General features: G+C 41.2%; 1 protein-coding gene across 4 annotated transcripts in view; it reads right to left on the bottom strand.

Annotated features, from left to right (window-relative positions):
* Positions 1 to 27,064, bottom strand: part of CLDN10 (claudin 10) — a 146,005-nt gene that overhangs the window by 13,810 nt on the left and 105,131 nt on the right. For 2 of the 4 annotated variants that reach the window (NM_182848.4, NM_001160100.2), the window contains exons 2-3: positions 5,657 to 5,818; positions 5,487 to 5,568 (exon numbers count right to left, since the gene is read on the bottom strand). In NM_182848.4, the coding sequence (NP_878268.1) occupies positions 5,487 to 5,568; positions 5,657 to 5,818 (244 nt within the window). Of the gene's footprint in view, positions 1 to 5,486; positions 5,569 to 5,656; positions 5,819 to 8,325; positions 8,452 to 10,025; positions 13,231 to 27,064 lie in introns of those variants that run through there. The other 2 variants (XM_047430765.1, NM_006984.5) reach the window with 2 other exon arrangements.

Genomic DNA, 27,064 nt, shown 5'->3' with positions numbered 1-27,064 from the left:
TGTCCTTGGCAGGGATATGGATGAAGCTGGAAACCATCATTCTCAGCAAACTATCACAAGGACAGAAAACCAAACACCACATGTTCTCACTCATAGGTGGGAACTGAACAATGAGAACACATGGACACAAGGTGGGGAACATCACACACTGGGGCCTGTCAGGGGGTGGGGGGCTGGGGGAGGGATAGCATTAGGAGAAATACCTAATGTAAATGATGAGTTGATGGGTACAGCCAGCCAACATGGCACATGTATACCTATGTAACAAACCTGCATGTGGGGCACATGTACCCTAGAACTTAAATAATAATAATAAAAAAAGAAAGTAGGTAGTTGTTTATTTCTAACTACTAAATAGCCACAATGGTGAAAATATTTTATTATATAAAGCTTAAATCCTAAAGTAGAAACCAAATACATGCCAGGAATGAGAAGTGCGACATGATTTTGAAAAGTCTGGAAATAAGCCTAGAGGATGATAAGACCCCAACACAAAAATAGCTGGGCCAAAATATTAACGGTAAATGTCATATACAAAAAAAGAATAAGTCTAAGACAACAATTCTGTTCTACTTCCTCAACCAGAGCAATCAGTTAAGTCGTATAACTTTGCATGATTTGAAAAGAAGTTTCTTAATGTTGATCAATTCTTACTTGCAATGGTTTATCTAAGAAAACAAAGCTGGACATTCAGAAAGTTAGTGGTTTGGATAACAAAACAATGGTGGGAATAACGTAATTAAATTTCAACATCCTGGTATGGTGAATCATGCTAAGGAGTACCCATTACTAGAAGCTTGCAGGAGATTTTTTTTTTTTCAGATTTGTTAGTTTTTGTTTTAATAAAAAGGAGGAAGTTAGTTTGACACAGCCTAAAGGGAAAAGTTGAAAAACAGTTTTCAAGGCTCTGCAAGAGCTCATGCTGGAGTCATCAAACATAGTCATAGCTCGAATGAAAAAAAGCAAAACAAAAGGGAAAAATAGAGAAATAGCAGAACACGATGAAACTCTTTACAGATTGCAGTTCTGTCAAATGATTGTAGCTCGGAAGAAAAATCTTCCCAGATACGTGGTGGGAAAGGAAGGACTTTTAGAGGAACTAGCCACTGAACATAAAGTGCAATACTGCCTGCCATGTGCCTGCTGCAATCTTTACTCCAAGTCCATGCTAGAAGCCACTCATTTTTTCCTCATCAACAAAGCTCCTGTTGAGTTCCTTGCATATAGCAGGAATGTATAGGGAACTTGGTTCATGAGCTTAGTTGTGTTTTCCTAACTTGGGCAACCAAGATGTGCCTTATGTAGAGTTGTCCTGGAAATCTACAAAGAAGATCCAATTAACACGGCATACAAATCTGAAGGAAAAACAAGAGCAGCAGCAAAGCAAGAACAACAAAACCATGCTCTGAGGTCTAAACTCTTTTCCTTAGGGGTTGGGTATTGGAGAGCAAGTATTTGCTCACCAGAAATTTAAACTAGAACATGTGACAAGTCGCTGTCTCTCACTGCGCTTCCTAAGGGCCCAAACACACATGCTCCTGCAGGGAGAGATGGTATTTAGTGGCAGCTAGTTTTTGTAAGATTAATGTAAGATAATAATGGGAAGAAGAGAGCTTTCTTGCTCCATCCTCTGGGAGGCTCCCTCTATCCACTGAGACAACAATTTTCTTTGCTAATTCTGAAAGGACTAGGTCTACACATAAGAATTTCACTTCTAGGTACTGTGCTAGGGAAAGAAGATACAGTTGCATAGACGTTTTCTGACCTCAAGGAACTTAATTCTTATGCCAGCTGATTAAGACACCAAAGACATAGAACATTCCTATAGTGGCATCTTCCACATCCCAGCCTATCTAGGACTGGCCCTGCCACAAGCTTTGATTCTACAACGTATTCCTCTCTAAGTTCATGTACAAACAAAACCAGAAGCATCAATTATCAAATTCCAGCAAATGCTAGCCAGAGAAGTGCTATCCCTAGAATAAGCCAAAATAAAATATTGCTTTAAAGATGACATTTGAGAGCTAGGAAATCAGTTCATTTTGTGCTGATAGCCAATTTATAGCTTATTCATCTTCCCAGTTTTTATCCCCTCTACTAGAAGGTGTTGATAAACGGAAACCAAGTGAAGTCATATTAGTTAATTTATTAGTTTTTATACAAGTGTGTTTTGTTTAAATGAGGTCTGAGTTCTTGTGGGTGTCATGTCATTTTTATGCCCCTTTTCTATCATTGTGGGTAATTAGAATCTGATGGTATCTACAATTCTCAGGCCTTGATAATTCCTTGATCCAACTGGATTTTGTTGAAATCATGGAGGACCTTTCTTTGTGAAAGGCACTGCAGGGAAAACAGAGATGAAGGAGAGAAAGTCCTAATCTCAAGAAGTCAACTCATTCTCAATATCAGGTTTTTTATAGTCTATATTTTCTATAGACCTTGATGCAAAGGGCCTGTTATTTGTAAATATTACCAATGGATAAGCACTGCTGTTTTTCATGACCCCTGGTTCTTGTGCTTTTAATTACATTAGGTAAATTGGTGAATTGTAGGTGTTATATTTTTAAGCCACTGCAGAAAAGAGCTAATAAAGGCATCTATAAAGATAAGCCACATCTTACATACTATACAGAATTAAAAAGCAATCTTAATAATAATTAATATAACACAATAAGAGCTAATACAAGGTGTTTGCTCTGTGCCAATCACATCTATCTCTCTCTCTCTCTCTCTCTCTCTCCTCTCTTAACTCTCACAGCAATTCTGTGAGAGGTATGCTATTATTATCTTTGTTTTACAGATGAGAATACAGACAGAGAGAGAGAGAGAGAGAGAGAGAGAGAGAGAGAGAGAGTGGGTAGGCAGAGACAGAAAGAGAAATTCCAAGAAGCTAATGAGAATGGAATAGCCAATGTAGCACCAAGAGGTTGAAAAAGAGGAAAGCCTCTCATAGCACCTAATTACTGAACTGAGTTTAATCAAAATCTGAAAAGAGAATAAGAAATTCCAATGGCACTACACTGAATTAGGTGACTGAGCTATAGTAAGGACAGAAAACAGTCACGCAAAGATAGGTTTAAGTTATTGTTTGTACACAAATTAGCCTTGACCATTTGAGGAAAGAGTCCAATGATTTTTAAGATATAGACAAAGATATCCTTAATAATTGTCAGGAAAATAAAACCAGTAATATAGAAAAGATAATGCGGAAGAGTGAGAAATGTGTTTAATAAAATAAACCATGAGAAGTACAGGTTTGCTGCATATTTATGATATCAAACCCTAAAATAAAAATGTATCATTTAAATACAATATTTCTTTTAAATATCATTAAAATATTTCTAAGCTTCAGAAATACAGCCTTGGTTTTTATTTCAATGTTTCCTGCCATGTACATCTGTGCAAATCTCATTTGAAAGATAAGTAGGAGAAAATTAATAAATTAGGACATGTTTTTGTATTATAGGCAGGGGATAAAAAAGTTATATTGAGGTCTAAAACCCATTTAATAAAATTTGTTTTTCTTTCCCATTTAATAACATTTCTGAATAAAAACTATTTTTAAATGTATAGAAAAGGCTGGGCATGGTGGCTTATGCCTGTAATCCCAGTGCTTTGGGAGGCTGAGGGAGGAGGATCATTGAAGATCAGGAGCTGGAGACAACTCTGGGCAACATAGCAAGACCTGTCTCCGTTAAAAAATGTAAAAATTATCCGGGGCCGGGCGCAGTGGCTCACACCTGTAATCCCAGCACTTCGGGAGGCTGAGGCGGGTGGATCACCTGAGGTCAGGAGTTCGAGACCAGCCTGGCCAAAATGGTGAAGCCCTGTCCCTACTAAAAATACAAAAAAATTAGCTGGGCATGGTGGTGCGTGCCTGTAATCCCAGCTACTAAGGAGGCTGAGGCAAGAGAATCACTTGACCCTGGGAGATGGAGGTTGCAGTGAGTCGAGATCGCACCACTGCACTCCAGCTTGGGCAACAAGAGCGAAAACTCCATCTCAAAAAAAAAAAAAAAATTATCTGGTTGTGGTGGCACATATATGTCCCAGCTACTCGGGGGGCTGAGGTGGGAGGATCACTTGAGTGCAGAAGCGCAAGGCTGCAGTCAACTAAGATCACACCACCACACTCCAGCCTGAGTGACAGAAAGAGGCCCTAACTCTTAAAAAAAAAAAAAAAAAGGACGAAAGAAACCTCTTGATGAACAGTACATGTAGCATATTGTCACAAAAATTACAAAATAGTGGAATATTAGAAATCATGCTTTTTAAGAGCCAGTGTTCTGAAGTTCAACTGCCTGGTTTGAATCCCAGTTCAATCAGCCTACTAGTTTGGTCCAAGTTCCCTTGAACACATCACTTGGCCTCTTTCCTCAATTTAAAAAAAGAGTACCAAGAGGACCTACTTTATAAGGTTGTTTGTAAGAATAAAATAAAATAACACAATAAAATAATATTTGCAGTGCTCTGCTTGGCTCCTGGTGGGGACTCAACATGCGCTAGCTATTATTTTCATTTTATTTCATGATATAAGCATTTACTGTTTATGCGTAAGGTACACTTAAGCCAGAACTAGAAAATCAATTTCCTGAAGATTCCTAAAACCACCAGAAAAAAAGTAAAGCCCAGCTGACCAGCTATTTCAGTAATATACTTCTTAAAAATTCTATAAAATTTGACCTGAAGTCTAAAATAAAATTACCAGCCTCATTGATAGCAATACACACACACGTACGTGAGGCTTCCTAAAGAGGGATGTAGATACATTCTTAGGTAAGACAAAATATTTAATATATTAATTCTGATTTGGTATCCCTGGGGTTTTCCCAATCCAAAGAAATAAGCCTAGGGAAACTATAAAAAGCAACAGCCCATAGTTTAAAAACAACACCAACAAGCAAACTGATCTGTTAATTCCAAAGCATTCATCTGCAAGACTGACCAGCCACATTTGGGTAAAGGTGCCGTGCTCCTACAGCATTTTTCAAAAACCTTGCATCGTATACAGTTTCTTTATAAAGGTTTATTAGGAGGAGCTTGTTAAGACAGTAGTTAATACAGCAAATTTAAAAGACCCAGAAACTAGCATCTGGCAAATATCATTTTGAGTGGGCAACAATCAAGGCAAGGTTTTAATTTTCTATTCGCACACCGCATCATTCTTTCCTCTCCGTCTGACACCTTTCACGTTTCCTCTACTTGACCTCAGTTTCATGATGTACAGCAAACGATGAAGTTTATAGTTCTAAATTTGATGCCTTGAACTGTTTCGAGACAAGACACTGCAACACTAGCAAACTAATTAAATGCATATTTTGCGTATGTGGCATATGACACATTTAATCTTGAATGATGTCATCAGTTACCATTTATCAGTATGTCTTACTTTCAAAAGTCATATAGGAAATTCATGTCTCTTGGTTGAGAATATTAATTTATATACACTTCCTGTGAGCTGGAAACAGACTGAGAAGAGTACTTACTTTTGCTCAACAAAGAGAGGATCAAAGAATTCCGTTGTGATTTTGTTTGCATATAGGGAACATCCAGTCATTGAGCACAGCCCTAACAAATATTAGAGGGAAAGCACTATGGTTAGTGTGATTTCATTAACATCATCAAGTACCTTGTTTGGAAGAAAGTTACTATTTACCTGACAGTATGAATACAATCCCAGCCAAACAAGCAATTTTAGCTTTGGCTTTATCGGAGCCTCCGACTTTGGTACACTTCATTCCAAAGAGCGCAAATATGGAACCAAAGAAGCCCAGGCTGACAGCAGCGATCATAAGTCCTCTACATGCCTGTATATAACCTGCAATTAGAGTAGGTCATTTACGTTACATAAAGCATGTGGCTGTCCAGGGAGAAATCCTCATTTTACGTTGTCATTCTGGATGTTTGTTTTCCAAAAAGATAACTGTGATGGTGAAAACATGTGGCAAGACAAGCAAGAAAGGAAAGCAAGTTAATCTACAGGGAGTGCCTATTCTAGGTCACACACTGTGAAGTGCGGTTTATGGGGAATCCTCAGGATAGATCTGAGTGTTATTTCCATATTCACCAGTGAGGAAACTGAGGCACACAAAGGTTATGTGACTTACCAGAGGTGAGTTAGAAAGTGGCAGACATGGATTCCATCCCAAATCAGACTACGAATTCCATATAGTGAAATTCCACAGTGAAAGGTGCCTTTCACTGTGAAAAAACATCATCTGCCACCATCACAACTCTGTAGCTCCTCCGCTCATTGGACTTTAAAAGGGTGTTTTAATGGTTTTGACATTATCAAATGATAAGATTTATAACTGGGTGGCAGAAAGAGATCCAAAGGGTCAAACCTTCCAATATTAGTGGACGCTTATTAATAGCAGACTAACTGGAATATCATCATGAACCATGGGGGGTCTAAGGGAATACTTTAGTGAAGTACTATTGTTTTCAGGGTGTATATAATAAAACTGGGTTTTAAAAAGCACTATTTTGTAGAAGAGTAATTTATAGTGATTAAGTCAACTGTTCTTTTATAAATGAATGCCTTTAAAGTACCCTAACGAGTATGTTCTGTCAGTTCGTTTGTTCATCCTTCCTGTGCTATTCATGTTCTTAGTCATGTATTTTTATTTGCACAGCCAGGGTACACGGTAAACTTCAGTGTGGCTTTTGTCCAGGTTTTTACATTAACAGGGTTTAAACTAATAAGCTTTTACCACATAAGCCATTTTCATTTCAGCCTGAAACAATGCCATATTTCGATCTAAAATAGTGATAGTAGCACATACCGGGTGTAAGTAAGTATCTGCTAAGCAAATAAACATATATACCTACATCAGGTTTACGTTTGGAATTAAACTTTTTAACTGGAAAAAACCTCTTATGTGTCAATATATGATAAGTCATTTATTATTGGTGTTCAAGCAGAGCCATGATAAATAATAATTCCGAGACCATGATAATCATGAATTTAGGGAGTACATACTAGTGGCCTCCAGTTCAGTTTCTTTTTTTCTTTTCTTTTTTTAACACAGGATCTCACTTTTGCCACCCAGGCTGGAGGGAAGTGGCATAATCATAGCTCACTGCAGCCTCAAATTCCTGGGTTCAAGAGATCCTCCTGCCTTAGCCTTCTGAGTAGCTGAAACCATAGGCGCTTGCCCCCACCTATGGCTAATTTTTAAATTTTTATAGAGACAGTGTCTCGCTGTAATGCCCAGATTAGTCTCGAATTCCTGGCCTCAAGCGATCCTCTTGCCTTGGCCTCCCAAAATGCTGGGCTTAAAGGCATGAGCCACTGCACCTGGCCCCAGTCTGTGTTTCTTTGGAAAAGAATGAAATTGAAGTTTTAATCCTATTCCTTGGACCCATTTTTGAAGAGCAAACAGGAGCTGCTCTACTTAATTGTAAACACTTTAGACTCCCACAAATGCAGACTGCAAGGACAGTGACCTTCCATTGTGTAGTGTGAAATATTTCCATACAGAAAACAATTTCACTAACACCGTGGCTATCAAAAACAGCAAAACAAACTTATTTTTAGCAAAACAGGATAATGAAGGCTTCTTTCATAGCAATCATTGTGCTGCAGGGCTATCTGGGTCTCCGCTGCCAAATGCTGAACCAGCTGTATTTTAAACTTCAGTCCTCGAGCTCCCCAGCCAGAGCCCAGACAGCAGGTAGAGGCAAGACAGAGAGGGGAAGCCTGTCAGTCCCTTGCAAGTTTGAAGAGAGCCTGTGAGGATAACCCAAACTGGTTCATCACTTGCCACCAGGGCTACTCGGACAGTGTGGTTTCGCTCTTTTTGTGAAATTCATTTTAATCTATGGTTTTGAGGTTTTATAGCTGACTCTGACTGCAGTCATTAAATAAACAAAAAAATGGGGGACTCATCCATTTATATATACTCCCAGAAAACATTAGCATGTACCCTAATTTGCATTGCCTTTAGTTACTTCCATGCTTTGTTAACAGAAAGTGCAAGTTGTCGGGAATTTACCAAAGGTTAAATTCTACAATCTGGTCATTTAGAACGCGGAATGCATTTCCCAGATGATAAACAGTGGGTAGAATCCCAGGCCAACCCATTCGATTCTTAATACAACAGGGAAAATAACAGTAGTCTTTGAACTTTATGTAATCACCACTGATAACATTTTTCCCGAGTTTCTCACTCTGAGATGCCCCGTCCCAGCCCTGGTATTGGCAGCAGGACCCACTTTGGTCTCTTGACACAAGCATGAGAGGAGAAGTGGGCAGGGCAGATTCTGATCTGGTCAGGTCCTTCTTTTGTGCCAACCAGAACCCGGATTTGGAAAATGAGGTACCTTTCTCCAGCATGAACAGCAGCCATAACTTGTTAATTTTGCGCATGCACAAAGAAGGCAATTTACAAGGACGATCATTGGCCAGATTTTCTGAAATGGAGAGCAAAGAGCAGGGGATAAACTCCCCTGCCAGCCATAAATGTAATGGAGTTGCTCGTAAGCCTGAGATTTGTAAATTCTCAGTGTTCTAAGGCTACCAGTCCTTACAACACCCACAGATTGGAGCCAAGATGATTCCAACAAACCCTTTCAGAGTTCATCTTTTGCAAAGCAGACCTCTACAGCCTTGCTTTCTAACAGTTCCTGAGGGCAAAACTTACAAGTAACACCACCAGGAGAAGTGTTAGTAAAAACCTAGTCAAGGAGGCCATTATTTTTGACAGGTCTAATTTACTGACACTGTTAATAGCTAATTAACACATTAAGGTGCTGAGGCATGAACATATTTATTTAGAAGTTCTCTGAAGTATAATTTATAGTTAGTTCTCCTGGGAGAAATGGCAAGCATTCCCACTAGCAAAAATAGATGGCATACACTAAAAACAAGCTGGCTGAAAATCATACTCAGCTGAAGTTCAAGTGGTACTTTGAAAGGAGTATGGGTTAACAATAAACAGAAATCACAAGCTCATTCAGCTGTGAAATTTTCAAATAGTAAAATACAGTGACTTTAAATTAATGAACTCTGTTGGAGGAAAGCTTCAAGGTGTTCCTTAAAAGTTAAGTGTTTTCCAAATTATGTGTACTTTATTTTCAATTGCAAATCAGCAAAAAACGAAAACATCCACTTGGTGGAGACAATTCGCTAATAGCACCTGTGCTAGTTGATGGATTTAGGGGGGAAAAAAGAATGTGCTTTTCTTTTCCTGGTAGCTTTGTGTACTTCTGCAAATCCTTTGAGAGAACAGTGGTATGGGGAGGGCAGGAACTCTGAGTTTCACCTCTGGTGCTTCTATTTACCCAAGGTATGTACTTGGTTATAGGACCTAATCTCTTTGAGGCTCAGTTCTCTCATCTGTAAAACAGGGATGGCAGCACCTCCTTCACAGGATGAATAATATGGATGTCTGCTGAGCAGTAAGAAAGTCATCAAAGCATCCCGTCATATTATAATACTACAATGGATTCTAAGCAGAAATTAGAGCTGGGTTCTTAATATGGCATAACGTTAAATCTAGACATATAGCTTTGCTAGGCCTCATTTTTCTTATAAGGAAAACAAGTGGCAATGATACCCCTAGGGGAGGGGAATCAGAGATTTCTTTATATAAGAAATTTAGGGCTGGGCGCATGGCTCATGCCTGTAATCCCAGCACTTTGAGAGGCAGAGGCGGGCAGATCACTTGAGGTCAGGAGTTCAAGACCAGCCTGGCCAACATGGTGAAACCCTGTCTCTACTAAAAATACAAAAATCAGCCAGGTGTGGCAGTGGGTGCCTGTAATCCCAGCTACTCAGGAGGCTGAGGCAGGAGAATTGCTTGAACCCGGGAGGTGGAAGTTGCAGTGAGCAGAGATCATGCCATGGCACTCTGTCCTGGGGGACAGAGTGAAACTTTGTCTCAAAAAAAAAAAGAAAAGAAATTCAGAATAATGACCTCGTCGTTTGACTCCAAGAGTTCTTCTACCTAACACAAGATAGGCAAGAGTCACGAGCCTTCTCTCTCCCTTCCTGGATTCTCTTCCCAATCTAGAGCTCATACCTGGGTTTAAGGGGAGGGCTGTTCCACTCAGGCCACCATGGCCACTTTCTCCAAAGGCAATGTCAGGACCAGCACCCACCAGATGTGGCTGACCTGGGAATGCAAGGTAGAGGACAAACAGAGGGCCCCTACCCTGGAAGCTTCCACTTGCAGGTGGGGGAATCAACTCCCCTCCACAGGAAAACACAGTTGCATGATTTAACCCTCCAAGATGTTATTCTGAGAGATACAGAAAAGTAAGTTTGTTTTGCGGTAAGAAATGCCATCTTAAGCCACAGAAGGAAAGTCATCAAAAAAACAGGCTGATAAATATGATTCTATTACAAATTTCAAAGTCCTGTGTGAGAAAAGGCATCATAAATTTAAAAGATGAACAATGGTGTGAGATTGCAACCTACATAACAAATCAAGGACTGACAAATCATCGAAACCACAAAGAAACAACAGAACCATGGGCCTAAGATATGGATGCCAATTCACAAAAGAGAAAAAAAAACGGTCAGTGAGTTTTGACCATTTTTATAACCAGTGATTTTGACCACGGCAATAAGGGAAATGCCAACTAAAATGATAAGATGGCTGGGCGCGGTGGCGCACACCTGTAATCCCGGCACTTTGGGAGGCCGAGGAGGGTGGATGACCTGAGTTCAGGAGTTCGCGATCAGCCTAACATGGTGAAACCCTGTCTCTACTAAATGCAAAAAAAATTAGCCGGGCATGGTGGCACATGCCTGTAATCCCAGCTACTTGGGAGGCTGAGACAGGAGAATCACTTGTACCTGGGAGGCGGAGGTTGCAGTCGGCTGAGATTGTGCCACTGCACTCCAGCCTAGGCAACAAGAGCAAAACTCCGTCTCAAAAAAAAAAAAAAAAAAAACTGGATTAACACAGAGTGGTGAGAATGTGGAGAAGCAGGTATTCTCATACACTGTCAGTGGAAAGTAATTTGACAGTATGAACTGAATATTAAAATGCACGTGTATTCTACTGCTCTTACGATACCATTTCTCAGTGGAATGGAGTCTACAGAAATACACACACATACAAAGAGGTGAATATAAGATTTTCAGTAAAGCACCACCAACAAAGAAAAGCTGGAAAAGGTCCAATGTCCACAATGGATCTATGGTTAACTAAGCCATTTTATGCAGTCTAATGAATATACCATGCAGCAGTTACACAGAGTCAAGTCACTTCTATTAAGTACTGACTTGGAAAAATACATTGATTTTAAAGTGTTGTACAACAGTAGGTAGTGTCATGCCATTTATGTTTTTAAAAGTCATTTTTTAGTCACATGAGCACACAGGAAGGCCATTTTGCAAGCTGGATGGCATAAAAATGTCACTCCTCTCTGTTCTCCTCCCAGCTAACCAGGACAACTATTCCTACTTCCTCTTCACTCCCGGCCCGATCTGCCCCCAAACAGGTATGGTACCACCTCCACTCTCACTGCAGACATGTAGGAGAAAACTTTATTATTCTGCACTTAATAATATTCATAGAGCATTCATTTCCTTCTCTCCCTTGTCCCCCAACTGTCCTACAGAAGGAAGCGTACCTATCTGGCACACTATCTCAGAGAACAATAGAGTTACAACAGAAGAGTGTTCAGAGGACAGTAACACATTGCTGACTATAAATCACAGGAACAAGAGAATGCCTGTTCATCTACCTGGATGCGTGCTCTACAAACCACAGGAAATTCAACGGTAATGCTGGGGAATAAACACTGTTCCGGCTGCTTATTTTACCGAACAGGACACGGACCCGGGCGCCACCCTTCTAAAACTAGATGCGTATTCCTTATACGGAGGTTCCATCAAATACCACGTTGAGCAACAGTTTGCTCTTCGTGGCAAACCCCATCTTAGAGGAATCAACTATTTTCTTTCATTTACCCAGCTATGTAAACAAAACCTGCAAGTGCGGTAATAAAAGAAAAAAACACCTCAAATCTAGAAATATGTAATGTAAATAACTCCTCTTAAGTTTCTGCCAGGATTCGTTTGCTGTAAAATCCTGGAAGCAACGGGCCTAGAACTTGAGCAATCAATGGGACCGGGCTGACATCGGCTGTTGTCTTGAAACTCAACAGAGCCAGAGTTCTGTGTGAATATCCACCAGCTGCTACCAGCATAAGGCCTGACTAACCAGAGCAACGCAGGTGAACCTCCACAAAGGAACAACCCAGGACAGCAGCAGGCACCGGGGACTCGGATGCAGAACTGGTCAGCTCCCGGCGCCACGCTCTCACGGCCCAAGATTCCCTACCCTCTGCGGACTCATCGCGGCACCGCAAGGGCTATTATTTTCCTAAAACTCGGAGGAAGTGTTTGTAGTGTTGCCTAGGCAGACAAGTTTGTAGAAGCTCTTTAAAGGGAAACAATAACAACAACAAATTCTGCAATATGTTTTCCCGCTTCCAACCTCTCAACCCCCACCCCCGCCTACTTTTAAAAGAACCAACGAAATGGCTCAAGGGAGGTCAGGACAAACGGATTTGGCTTGCAATGACACCATTTTTATCAGAACCCAGCCTTCGGGGAACGTAGGGGAGGGAGGTGGAGGAGACAAGCCCCTGCAGCATGAACTCTGGGTCCCAGCGGTCCCCAAGATATGGGGGGTGGGGGAGGGCAGCCGCTTCCTTGACTCTCAGGACCGCAAAGCTTCCCCATCCCCCGACGCCTGGGAGTCACCAACCCGGGCCTGTCTGCGTGTCCCCCCTCCCGGGGTCCCAGGCTCGAACAGGCGCCCCGCGAGACAGCCATCAGGAGAGGGCGGGCACCAGGAGCGTCCCTGGCTCCCTAAGGCCCTGTTGGGAGAGACGGGTCGGGCCTCAGAGGAGTCCAGTCTAGGGGTCCCGCTGGGGGTATTGGGGGCGAGAGGGCGCCTAGCGGGCTGGCCATCAAGGAAGGAGGGCTGAGGGCGGGGGCCGCGGGGATGCAGACCGTCCAGCGCCAGCATGGAGGGGAAGTCCTTGCAGTTGGAGACGCCCGTGGAGTCGGTAACGCACGCCTTCCACAGGTTGGCCCAATAGGTGGCGGTTGTGATGACCGTGCCGTCGATGGTAGACACCTTCCAGTAGTCGGTGGGCAGCGTGGAGGACACCAGTACCCAGCCTGAGATGGAGACCATGAAGGCGATGATCTCCGAAGCCGTGCTAGCCATGCCGCCGGCTGCAGCCGCGCTCGCTCTCCGGCTCCCACTCTGCGCCGCGACCCCCGCACTCCCAACCCCGGGGCTCCGCCTCCCGCCTCCGCCTCCGCCCACCGTCCCCGCCCACCACCCCGCCCAGCGGACCCGGCGCCAGGGGGCGCACGCGACCCCTCACACCCATGCCCTGTCCCTTGAGGGGCCTCAGAGGGCTCGCGGTCGCCCCCCGGGTTCTCCATCTGCAGCTGGCCCGCGCCCGCGTGCGGGAGGAAGGCCGGCCTGCGCTCCCCTGAGCCAAAGGGCCGCGGAGAAGGGCTCGCTTGTTGGAGCGGCTCAGGTTCAGACTGGCAACCGGGTGTGGACAACCTGCTGCGCCCCCACCTCACCACCCCCACCCAGCCCTACCCAAGGCAAATAGCTTGGCTTCCTGACTACCTTGTAGAAGCAGAGCAGGAAAAGCCTTTTGCATGCCCTGAAAGGACACGGTTTGGTAACTCAGCCCTCGGTTTGCTGAACTCTAAAGGTTTGCGTGCCACGCTTGTTTGGGTGACTCTGTTTGACTTGTCAAGGAGGGATCATTGCAGATTCTGGGCTGGAAACCGGCCTTGCCCTCAAAACTCTGCAGTTCTTTTTGGCCTGGTGCTATGCGGAAAGTCATGGCAAAACGGTGCGTGGCACAGGCCTAAAGTCAAGATAGCAGCAGATGGGGCATCCTGACGATCTTGATCTTGCTGGTGTACTCATACTAATGCACTACGCAGAGGGCATTTGTTCAACACATTTTCCCTGTAGGTCCCTTCCAGCTTCCAGGTCTAGAGGCTATTCTATGAAAGGATGCTGTTATCCCAGTCAAAACTGCTATCTTGTCTTTTATTTTTTTTTAAACCACCTCCATCTCTCACGCCTAATTGAAATATAAACTCATTCATTCCTTCATCCCTTCATTGCTGTCTCAAGGTAAACATAAAGATCAAGGTGTACTTCTGGCTCCTGAGGCCACAAATCTGGGCATAAATGAGAGAACAAGGACACGGGTTATTATTTGTCCACTTAAAGGTTCTTGCAGTTTTGTTATGAGCTTCCAGGTTTCACTTGTTGCCAAAAGTAAGGAAAGGTCTAAAACCTATCAATCAGTCTGCTGTGATAAATCTCGTGCTAACCCTCTGTGTCACTATCTTTAGGCAGAAACACTCTGGTTCAATGTGAAGAATTTCTTAATTTCCCTTTGTCACTTTTTTTTTTTAACCAAATGGGTGCCCAGTGAAATTAGAGGCGACAAGGTGACTGGAGAAGAGAGGAAGCTGGACATAGAATCATCAAAACTTAGATTGGAAGAATCACTGTAGACCAGCAGGACACGCTCCACACTCAAAACAATGTTCCTGTCTATTTCTAGAGATAATGTTTAGCCCATGCTCCACCCTTCAGGACCAGCAGTTCAGTGCATGGCAACGTATCTATTCTGTTTTTCTTCATGTTGTTTTGACAGCCCTTTAAAAAAGCTTTTCTTCCTATTGAGCCCCAAATCTGTCTCTCTTCAATGTCTACCCGAATGTTGTAATCTGTGCTCTGAGAACACGAAGTAAGTCCTACTCTTGTTGCAGCCGTGCAGCGGCTGGCAGGTAGTGGGCTTCTCTGTGCTTAATGGTCCCATGGCTTTCGTGAATGGGTACAAGGGTGACAATGCAGACATGGTTACCCTACTGTTCTGCTCTGAACCCCAGCTTGTCCTGATGTATCATGTTAGGTTCACTGGTAAACTAAACTTAAAAACTGAGTTTAAGAAGTATCTCCCTGGCTGGGCGCAGTGGCTCACACCTGTAATCCCAGCACTTTGGGAGGCCGAGGCGGGCGGATCATGAAGTCAGGAGATCGAGACTATCCTGGCTAACACGGTGAAATCCCGTCTCTACTAAAAATACAAAAAAAAAAAAAAAAAAAAAAAAAAGTATCTTCCTAACCTCTTCCTTCTCATTCTCCTTGCTATGCAAATCAGTCACCTTTGAGCAATGACTACAAAGCATCCTCTATTCTTTTGTATGGCTTGCCTTTTTAAAGTGTTTTATCATCTGTTTTTTTGCCCTCCAGCATATTTCCACTATTATTTCTATGCCATATTCCTTCCTGAATAATCTGCCTATTTCTGATCCAATTACTATTTGAAAAACACAAAACCCACTAACCATAACATTTCTTACTGATTTTTCTAAAATTACAAATTACACAAATTTAATACTTTATTTCCTGGCCTTGTTCGATAGTCCCTTTGTTTACCGTGGCTCGCCTATGGTAGATACTCACTAAATTGATTATTTCTTTGTTTTTACTAGACAAAACCCTGACTTACTTTTGCCACAAAACAAGTGTAGTGCTGTGACCTTTAAGACTCAAGCACTTCCTAATTTATCACCTAGTTGCTATGAAGTCCACTGTTTGGATCCAAAGGCACATTGTTTGTTTTAAAGAAAGAACTTTGAAGAATGGTTTGGTGTTTTAAACCAGTCTGCAAAGTTTATTTAACACATAATGTAGCTCTACCCATTATACTTCAAAAATCCATAAGCCCAGATTACCGTTGCAACATAGCATCCGGAAGAAACAAATTCTGAATTCCTGCTTGGAACACTCTTCTCTCTGCCGCATCGCCACACCAGTGAAGCCAGAATCTCTGGGGGTGGCCTTGGTAGCAGTATTTCCAAAACTTCTAATGTGGACTCAGGCTGAGAACCACAGCTCTGACCAGTTGAGCTCTGTGTATGTGTGTATAAACAGTTAATTTAGCATAACGGATGGTGGTATGCATCACAGGAAGAAAGAATATTAAACTCATTGTTGAATACTTTGAAAAAAGAAATATTCTATTACTGTAGAGATTGCAACACACAATTTCAACTTAAAAGGGATGGGAAACACCACAAACAATCCATAAATTAAAACTTAAATGGCAGCATTATTAGTTCCTTTGGCAGCTAAAACAGACTAGGGTCGTCATGCCTGTGGACTTGGTTAATTTTCCTTTCTCCTTTCTATGAGGTTGGACAACCCTAAACTCTTTTCTTTATCTTCCCTAGGATGTACTACATAGTTACTGTGGAAAGCTGTATGTTGGAGGCCATGAGTTCCTGACCAAAGAATGAAAAATGTTAACTTTCTTTAATACCTAGATAATATTATGTAATGAATCAAACATTTTTATTTTAGAATGTCTTATATCTTATGCTTCTCAAGCTAGTTTTGTCAGGAGAATTCTAAAGATATTATGGAGTAGCATATAATCTAAAAAAAGAATGTCCAGAAAATAAAAATGGACCAAATAGAGATTTTTGAAAAGAAGTAATGGATAAATGTCTTGTTTTGCTTTAAGATTATACAGTTCCCAAATAACCTTTGCAGTTAATCTGCAAGCCGATTTACAGAGTACTTTCGACTGATAAATGCTTCCTTATTTTCTTTAGGATTCAGTTCACTGAAATTTCATAAGAGACTATTCTTAATTTAAATATAAAAGTGAATACATCAAAAAAGGTTGCCTCCTCTAAATTATTCAAAGTAACATCTTAGTTAACAATAGTTTAGTCTTTACAAAAAGCTATAGATCTTTTCCAATATGAAAACTACTAACTGATCTATAAATTTGACCCGAAGACATACAATGCCCTCAAACATATTCTGAGCCTTTCTACTTTTGAGGTCTAAGTCACTGGAATTAGCATTGAAAATTATTTCTTTGGCTTATTATGGTTATTAAAGAGAAATAGAGGATCCCCCCCACCCTGGGGTTGTTCAATAGGAGTGAAAACCAGTTTAGCCAACTAAACAGGAGATTTGCAGAAATTCCTTACTTGAGATTCAGTACACCTACCAAGCAACGCAGGTGTGCCTTTCAATAGCTCAAGGATTTTCTAAGCATCAGATTTGGTTTCAGTATACATTAGCTCCTTCCTAGATTCCAGTGAGGTGGCGTGCTGCTAATCAGGTGGGAAGAAACTGAATTCCTGATGATACGGTATTAACTAAAAAAAACAACTGCCCAGGAGCCAAGTATTGTTACATCACATTAAAGAAGACATTAATGCCGGTACCAAGATATTAAAAGAGCATATCTGTGTTCTTTTTCCTTCCATTTTCCCTAACATTTCATTTATCTTAATGCTTATGCAAATCCAATGATATTTGTAATCTACTTAGCATGAAAGCTACAGAGTGATAGGAATAGTTACAGAATGAACAGTTATTCTCACCATTGCATCACCATTCATATATAAATATATATCTATAATTTTTTTTGCAAATTATAACTATAAAAACAGTTGCCTTATTCTGTCATTTGGCAACCTGTGAAGTTGTACTCCATCAGAATATTTCTATGGGCCTATTACAAGTCAGTGCCATATACCTTGTGGATTTGTTTTTCATGCATTCATTTGAAACACACTCATTCCCAATTCTAAATTATCTTAGTAGACTCCTCTTGAGCCCCTGAAGGGGAGGGGTAAGGTTTGGGCCCCAGCAGGAATACCCTTCGAGCCTGGAATTACTCTCACTCTGTGATGCTAGAACATTCCAGGGCTTGTAGACAGGTTGGGTACATTTTGTTTGTCCATAAGCACTTGATGAATATCAATATAACCTCCCACCCAGGTCGGGGCAGTATGTTAATTTATATGTTTTGGGCAAGTGATTTTATGTCTCTGAGTTACAGCTCCCTCATTTGTAAAACAGAGGAGTTATTCTGGATATCTTCCGAGACCACTTTCAACTCCAAAAACCCCTGAGTCTAGGATTCCTAATGAACTTAGTCATTCACAGATAACATCAAGGAGAGGAGAGTAGCAGTTTTCCTTTGGTGTCTTTACTGTTTTATTCCCACTTTCTGCCTCCCTCCTTTGTTAAATTTAAAGGTGGCGTCTGTATAGATGTGTATGTGAGAGGCAGTGCATGGAGAAAATCTAAAATCTCTACATGTAGACTTATTGTCACTTATTCCTTCTGTTTAGGAGAAATGTGATAAGGCATGGTACTTTCATTCACTTAAGAGTCAGGGAGATATAGCGGACAGAGGGTAGATGATGTAATCAGAAAGATGTGAGATAAAATTCTACCTCTGAATGACCTTGGACAGGTCACCTAATCTCACTCAGCATCACTTCTTCAAGTATAACGTGGGACTAAATGACAGCTTCTTTCAAAGGCGTTGTGAAGAATAGAGACAATGTATATGAAGGACAGGAATGTAGTGGATGCTTAGTAAATAATGAATATTATTCAGTTCATTCATGCCTCTCATTTCCTTGTGTCTCTTTAAAGAGATACAATTACATTTTTTCATAAAAATGGTATTAATCGGTTAGGCTAACAGCAGTAAGTGAATAAGGCTGAAGTGTATTGCAAATCTCAAAGTAGGAAAGCAGAAAGTGTGGAGTCGAATGCCAACATGGAAGGGGCTGGTGCCCAGAGTGAGGGCAGAGGGAGGGAAACCAGGAAGTCAGAGCAGAGGATAGTCCCGGGGAGCAAAAGTGGTTGGGAGTGAGGCGCTTGCAAAGGAAAGTGAGAAATAAAACTGGAGGACAGTTAAATTTAAAAGGGTGAACAGCTGGGTGCCTGTAATCTCTCCCAGCCCCTCCAGAGGCTGAGGCAGCAAGATCACTTGAGCCTAGGAGTTCCAGACCAGCCTGAGTAACATAGGGAGAGTCCCCATCTCTTAAAAAAAAAAAAAAAAAAAGTTAGCCAGCCGCCTGTAGTCCCAGCTCTTTGGGAGCATGAGCTAGGAGTTCAAGACCAGCCTGCCTGTCTCTAAAAAAGTAAAAATAAATGAAAGAAGTGACCAATGATAAGGCAGAGAGAGTAAGGGGAACAGAAACTGCAAAGAGAAAAGCAAGGGGCAAGAAATAAAGATAAAGAAGAGAAGAAGTGGGAAATCAAGGGGAGACAGCACTGGGACGAGAAGCTGAGCAGAGGACACTGAGGACAGGGTGAATGATTTCCATAGCCCTCAGTTTTCTCAATGACTAGGTGTAAGGAGTGGGAAGCAATACAGTCTAGTGTCTGTTACCAAATGCAGATACTTGCTCCTCTCTCTAGTCCTCACAATACAGCAGGTGCAAAGTTTATTCCAAACTACTCAGAAGTCCCAAGTTACCACGTGGCTCACATTGTGGGGAAAATCAGAGGAAGTTTAAAATGAATTATTTCAGGGTTAAAAATGCATGTTCTTACAAAAACATACCTATAAGCTAGTGCTTCATTTTGAGAGTTTTTTTTCTTCAAAATGTAGGCATTCTCTTATTTCTATCTAATAAACACTGATCTTGGTACCTTTTAACAATTCCATGCAATAGATACTATTTAATAAAAACTCCATGCAATGGGGTACTATTTTCATTCCCATTGTACAGAAGAGGAAACTGAACCACAGAGAGATTAAGTCACTTGCTCTGGAAGGTGGTGGAGGTGAGGTTTCAATGTGCCAGCTCAGTTCTAGAGTCTCCACTCCTTGTGAGAAGTTGCTTCCCACCAAGACAACTCTTTGTGTACAGAGTACAGTCAATATCTACAGCGTGTGAACAAACATGCACAAAATGCATTAAGACAGTTCTGAATAACTTGATTTAACTTTATTTTCAGGAAAATTGCTTTTATAATCAGAATTATTTGAACAGGGTACCTAGTTTCCTTACTTCATTTCTGTATATGTCTAGATCTTGCAGTAAGTGAATTGAAGTTCAATAATATGCTGTTTAATGGTATCCTGAGCAAGGCTCACTCACTGTGTTAGTTTGGGTCTGGAATATTTTTCTTTGAGTCCACACACACAGTAAGAAGACTTCATTAGAGAATTCTTAAATCTGTCTTCTGCGTGCTTTGAGCTCTGGCCCGTGCTCTCAGCCAAACGGAGCTAGCCCAGTGACTTGAATGGGAACGTTCTGCCAGTGAGCACCCACCCTTCTTCCCTGCCATCCTGAGTTGGGGACGTTCTGCAGTGAGTATCATTTACTGTGCTGTGGACGCTCCTTCTCATGTTTATTTCATTTTCTGGTGAAAATATTTAAAAACCAATGGTTTTTAAATAGCCATAAAAAATATTGTTATTTTAAAGGACATCAAACTAAGGTATATATTTTTATTTCTAGAATGCTGAAGTTAGAAAGGACCTTAAAAAAGTTACCTAATTCAATTTTTCAAATGAGGAAACTGGGACCCAAAAGTGACTACTTTTTTTCTTTTATGTTTTGAGATGGAGTTTTGCTCTTGTTGCCCAGCCTGGAGTGCAAAGGCGCGATCTCGGCTCACCGCAACCTCCACCTTCCGGGTTCAAGCGATTCTCCTGCCTCCCAAGTAGCTGGGATACCAGGCATGTGCCACCATGCCTGGGTAATTTTGTATTTTTAGTGGAGACAGGGTTTCTCCATGTTGGTCAGGCTGGTTTCGAACTCTTTAACTCAGGTGATCTGCCTGCCTTGGCCTCCCAAAGTGCTGGGATTACAGGTGTGAGCCACCGTGCCTGGACTCAAAAGTGACTTCTTAATGCACATTAGGTCATAAAGTATATGCTGAAGTAGTATATCAATTGGAATAACATTTTGCATGTTATCAATATTTTTCAAAAATGTATAAATCTGAAAAATTATCTGAGTTTGATGCTGAAGAAAAATCTGAATTAGAAGCAAGATTTGAATAATATTTAAAAGTTGAGCCAGGCACAGTGGCTCACACCTGCAACCCTAGCCCTTTGGGAGGCTGAGGCAGGTGGATCACCTGAGGTCAGGAGTTTGAGACCAGCTTGGCCAACACGGTGAAACCTTGTTTTCACTAAAAATACAAAAAACTAGCTGGGTGTGGTGGCACACACCTGTAATCCCAGCTACTCGGGAGGCTGAGGCAGGAGAATTGCTTGAACCGGGGAGATGGAGGTTGCAGTGAGCTGAGATCGCACCACTGCACTCCAGCTTGGGCAGAAGAGCAAGAGTCCATCTCAAAAAAAAAAAAAGTTGAAAACTACCCTATTTCATCTAGGTTCTCCTCAAAGATATATTTATGCTCCCCAGTAAAATATTTACAAGTGTATTACTAGGAGGCTTCGTGATTCAGGTTCATGCAGTCATCTCTATACATGACTTCTGAATAGTAACATAAAAAGAAAGGAAATCACAGTGGAATTGTATGCTGATAATATGGCAGACTGATAACAGACACACCTCTCTTTGTGGTTCAAAGCAATAGCTGTTTCTATGATTTAGGGTTTGTAAAGAATGAATAAAAACATCTAAAGAACAAAGTTGATGTCATGTTTTGCCTGTATTATCATAACTGCCACACCTCTAGGATTTCTGGCATAAATCTTTCTGACAAACAAACATGCCCTATGTCAGCTGCCTCCCACCGTACAATTCATCCATATATGTAATCCTATAGAGTTAAGCCATGTTTTATTTCCAATCAAAACACCATGTGAAAGATTATATTGTAATTTTTTGACATGCTAAATAAAGCAGCCAATGAAATTTGGTTAAGCAACCTGAATGATACTCTGTTTATTCTTGACTTTCTAGAGTTCATATACTGTAGAGGAGAAAAGCAAATAATACAATTTTATTATTTCATATTAATTTCCAGATGTGATTGAGAGGATCCAACAAATTAAATAATAGATATTATAGAACTGGGTATACTATAGGCATTTGCTAAATGTTGTTGAATTTAATTTTATTAGTCAAAAAAGGATATATGATTAAGATTGGTAGAATGTTAAGCATGAACTCTCAAAAACAGACTGTAAATGTCTAATTTGTATTTGCTCTTTTGAGTATAATCTTCTTACATGAAGAAGGAATGTCATATCCTTTCAAATTAAAATCTTATGAATATAAGGCTTTGTCAGTTTATATTTTAAACAATTAAATTAATCCTCAAATAATTGCTTTTTTGTCTTTTACAATCGATTGCATATATGTATATAAATGTTTATCACTATACAATTTTTCTACAGATAGTTTGGAATCACACAATATTAATATGAAAGGAATAGAAAAATATATGAACTAATAGAAAATATGAGCTAATAGAAAAACATGCTGCATTTTCCTAAATATGAATTTTAGAAATGAAATTTATGAATTTTCCTAATTCATAAACAAACTAATAGAAAAAATAAACTAATAGAAAAACATACTGCATTTTCCTAAATTCATAAACTTTATGAATTTGGGAAATTTTATGAATTTTGGAAAATGCAGTATTTTTTTCTTTTAGTTTGTTTTGCTACCTGGAATAGGTATATGGTAACTTCACTCACAGATTAGACTCACCAGTTTCTTTTACTCTTTTTCCTAACAGCCAATTACTTCTGACTTTCAAGACTCTTGTATTTCACTGGCTTAGGGAAAATCAAGCTAAGCCCTAAGTGGTATGTACCTCCACACTTCCACCTATTTTAAATGGCACCATTCTTTGTTACTTAGCACCTGAAAAGCTCTGGCTGACTCTCAGTCTCAGGGCAGAAGACTTCTCAAAAGGGTGGATTTTATTTATTTATTTTTTGAGACAGAGTCTCGCTCTGTCGCCCAGGCTGAAGTGCAAGGGTGCGATTTCGACTCACCGTAACCTCTGCCTCCCAGGTTCAAGCAATTCTCATGCCTCAACCTCCCGAGTAGCTGGGGTTACAGGCATGTGACACTATGCTTGGCTAATTTTTATATTTTTAGTAGAGACAGGGTTTCAACACATTGGCCAGGCTGGTCTCAAACTCCTGACCTCAGGTGATCCACCTGCCTTGGCCTCCCAAAGTGCTGGGATTACAGGCATGAGCCATCATGCCCAGCCTAAAGGGTGGATTTTACATCTCCATATATACTGGTGTTTGCTTTACCTCTCACTGGACAAATGTGAGTGTGAGTTTTTACCATTATTTGTTTGCTATGGTCATAACTATGTCTTTATTATTGTTATTATTATTCCTATTATTTTAGACAGAGTCTAGCTCTGTTGCCCAGGCTGGAATGCAGTGGCACCATCTTGGCTCACTGCAATTTCTGCCTCCTGGGTTCAAGAGATTCTCCTGCCTCAGCCCCCCGAGTAGCTGCAACTACAGGCGTGCGCCACCATGCCCAGCTAATTTTTGTATTTTTAGTACAGATGGGGTTTCATCATGTTGGCCAGGCTGGTCTTGAACTCCTGACCTCAAGTGATTCACCCGCTTTGGCATCTATGTTCATAACTATGATTATGACCTTTAACTCTCATTTTAAAATTATTTAGTGAATGTAGCATACATATTTCCAGTGCAGTATTTTATTTCTGGCCAAACTGGGCCAAAGATGAACCGTACTTGTGGATATACTTCAAAATCATGTTGAATTTCGAAGTACATACATTCATACTCTACATCAAATAATTCCATGTACATGAAATAATGGTGTTTAAATGCTGTCACATCCTCCACCTGCCCTAACTCCTGTGGTTGCTGATAAGGTTTGGATCTGTCTGCACCACATCTCATGTAGAATTGTAATTCCCGGTATTGGAGGTGGGGCCTGATGGGAGGTGACTGGATCATGGGGGTAGATTTCTCACGAATGGTTCAGCACCATCCCCTTGGGGCTGTTCCCGTGATAGTGAATGAGTTCTCGTGAGATCTGGTCATTTAAAAATGTGTAGCACTTCCCACCTCGCTCTCTTGCTCTTGCTCTGGCCATGTGACCATGTGACATGCAAGCTTCCACTTCATCTTCCGCAATGATTGTGAGTTTCCTGAGGCCTCCCCAGAAGCCAAGTAGATGCCAGCATCATGTTCCTGTACAGCCTGCAAAACCTAGCAATTAAACCTTTTCTCTTTATAAATTACCCAGTCTCAGATATTTATAGCTATGTGAGAATGGACTAACATAGTTGTGAGGTAACAAACATAGAATACATTTTTACATATGAAAAATATAAGGTCAGTTCAGCCTTGGGAGTGTTATTGTTTGTTCTTAATCATTAAACTTGGGTGCAATGTATGGAAATAGCACTGGACTGGCATTTAAATGACCTGCCATCTATTCTAGCTGTCACTACCTTGCTGTTCATTTACATTTGATTGGGCCCATTTTTCCCGTCTAAAAAGTGAGTGTGGAAAAAAAGTGAGTGTGTCAAAACAAGTCTCAAAAGCTCTGCCTAGATCTAGTGATAGAGGAAGTAATAAAAAATGCAATGGGAGAATATTGTCTCCTCCTCCCCTTCAGACAGTGCAAACAAAGGAAAAACAAGAAGGAACAGGGGAAACAGAAAAAAACTAGAAAGAGAGGGAGGCTCAGACGCAGAGTGTGATGGGGTCATTGTACACATATGCAGCTAGCAAGAGAGGGAACCAGGGAGAAATCTCTTTCTCACTACTCCAGAGATTTGCCCTTTAGTTTTCAAAGTTGGCTTAAGTTTTGCCCATACTTGCCCCAGCTGCCCCAGTTTCTCCTAATTATGCTCACTTGCGTATAGTTGCCTCTTAATTAGAAGCAAAGAACAGTAACTTGCAGCCTGGTCATTCTGAATTCCTCCCTGCCTCCAACAAGTGTTAGAAAGGAAAGGCAGACGAGTTCCGTTTATTTTCTGCACAAGGCCTGATTTCCTTTACAACTATTCTCAAGCATCGGTGCCTATGTTTGCTTTCATGGTTGGAATTAAGCATTTGTAGAAGGTCCCTCGGCAGGTTAATGACAGAGCCAGATTTAGCATGCACAGCTGCTGCATTCTCAGTGTGGGCCCTGGGCCACTGGGCCACGTGGCCATTCCACCCAGTGTTCCAAGTCACATACTTGTCAACTGCAAGCCACTTCCTAAGCCAGTAGTTGTGAACAAGCTTTATTAAACATGACACGTCCACAAGAGCAGAACACCCAAACCTCAAAACTTGAAAAATACTACTTATCTCTTCTAGTTCAAGCAAAAAGTGTCACATAGTAGTAAACTGGTATCGTCAGTGTCAGTGGAAAAAAGCAATGTCTCTCCCCAACCCCCAAAAAAACTTCACTCCCTATATCAATTACTCAAGCTATTAAGTTAGACTAACAGGCTTGATCATATTTTACAGGTGACAAAAGTAGCCAACGTTAAGAATTAACATCACTTCTCATTTCCCAGTCCGAGCCACTAACTAGCATGCAATTTTGTTTAGTTATTTGTCTGATATTTTCAAAGAATGCATATATGCCAAGTATTTGTTACCTAATGCATATTAACAACTAAAAAGTGGTCTTTTGTAATTAATGTAAGCAGTTCTTAAAAGTAAGCTTTTTTTTTGAGACAGAGTCTGTCTCTGCTCTGCTGCCCAGGCTGGTGTGCAGTGGTGCTATCTTGGCTCACTGCAACCTCCACCTCCCAGGCTCAAGCGATTCTCTTGCCTCAGCCCCCACCAAGCAGCTGAGATTACAGGCGCATGCCACCATGCCAGGCTAATATTTATTTATTTATTTATTTATTTATTTATTTATTTATTTTTGAGACAGAGTCTCCCTCTGTTGCCCAGGCTGGAGTGCAGTGGCGTGATCTTAGCTCACTGTAACCTCCATCTCCCGGGTCCAAGCGATTCTTCTGCCTCAGCCTCCCAAGTAGCTGGGACTACAGGCATGCACCACCATGCCCGGCTAATTTTTGTATTTTTAGTAGAGACGGGATTTCATCATATTGGCCAGGCTGGTCTTGAACTCCTGACCTCAGGTGATCCACCCACCTCGGCCTCCCAAAGTGCTGGAATTACAGGCGTGAGCCACCGCGCCTGGCCACGTCAGGCTAATTTTTATATTTTTGGCAGAGAAGGGGCTTCACCATGTTGCCCAGGCTGGTCTTGAACTCCTGACTTTAGGTGATCTGCCCACCTCGACCTCCCAAAGTGCTGATATTACAGGCGTGAGCCACCTTGCCCAGCCAAAAGTAAACATGTGTTAAAGGGTCAAGATTATCTTTTGAAAGCTGAATAAAATACTGTACTCTATGGGATGTTGCAAATTTCTATAGAAACAGAATTATAACTATGGGAGCTGAAAATAATGAGTGCCTTCTTCATTCCACAGTTTTTCTAAAAAAAAGGAATATGTAAGTGTTCTCAGGACAATATTCTGGAAAGGTAGAAAATACAGTTTCAATAAGAAATAAAGCCATCTTGTAATTAACTTTTTATTACTAACTTACCTTTGTATATTATTCAAGCCCTTAAATAATGCAACAACTTTCTTCCAGCTGCTCTTTTCTAATTGACTCCTTTAAAATTTTTATTATAAAGTCAGATTCATCTTCTAAGCAAATTAATTCAGAACGTGAATGTTACTCCAATGAATATAGCAAACCTCTTAGTCATGTACCAACTAAAAAATGATCATTTGAGAGAAGGCATATTGAAACAATACTGTATTCCCACATGTCTCAATATAAATACTGAAGGTGAAAACAGATTCACAATCCAATTGTAATGCCAGCATCCTCACTTTTTCTTCTGTGTTGTTTTAAGAGTCCAGTGACTTTGGTTCCTTTGTACCCTCTACTTTTACATTGCTATCCTCAAACATTTGATCTGGTTTCTATTCTTGGAGAGCAATAAAATGTTTTAGAAATGTAACAAAGTTCAGCTGGGCACGGTGGCTCACGCCTGTAATCCCAGCACTTTGGGAGGCCAAGGTGGGTGGATCACCTGAGGTCGGGAGTTCAAGGGCAGCCTGGCCAACATGGTGAAACCCCATCTCTACAAAAATACAAAAATTAGCCAGGTATGATGGCGGGTGCCTGTAAACCCAGCTACTCGGGAGGCTGAGGCCAGAGAATCACTTGAACCCAGGAGGCGGTGGTTGCAGTGAGCCGAGATTGTGCCACTGCACTCCAGCCTGAGCGACAGAGCGAGACTCCATCTCAAAAAAAGAGAG

The sequence above is a fragment of the Homo sapiens genome, chromosome 13 (genome assembly GCF_000001405.40).
Source record: "Homo sapiens chromosome 13, GRCh38.p14 Primary Assembly".
Taxonomy (NCBI): domain Eukaryota; kingdom Metazoa; phylum Chordata; class Mammalia; order Primates; family Hominidae; genus Homo; species Homo sapiens.
Note: the sequence above shows the minus strand (reverse complement) of the source record. Positions and strands in the feature narration are given on the sequence as shown.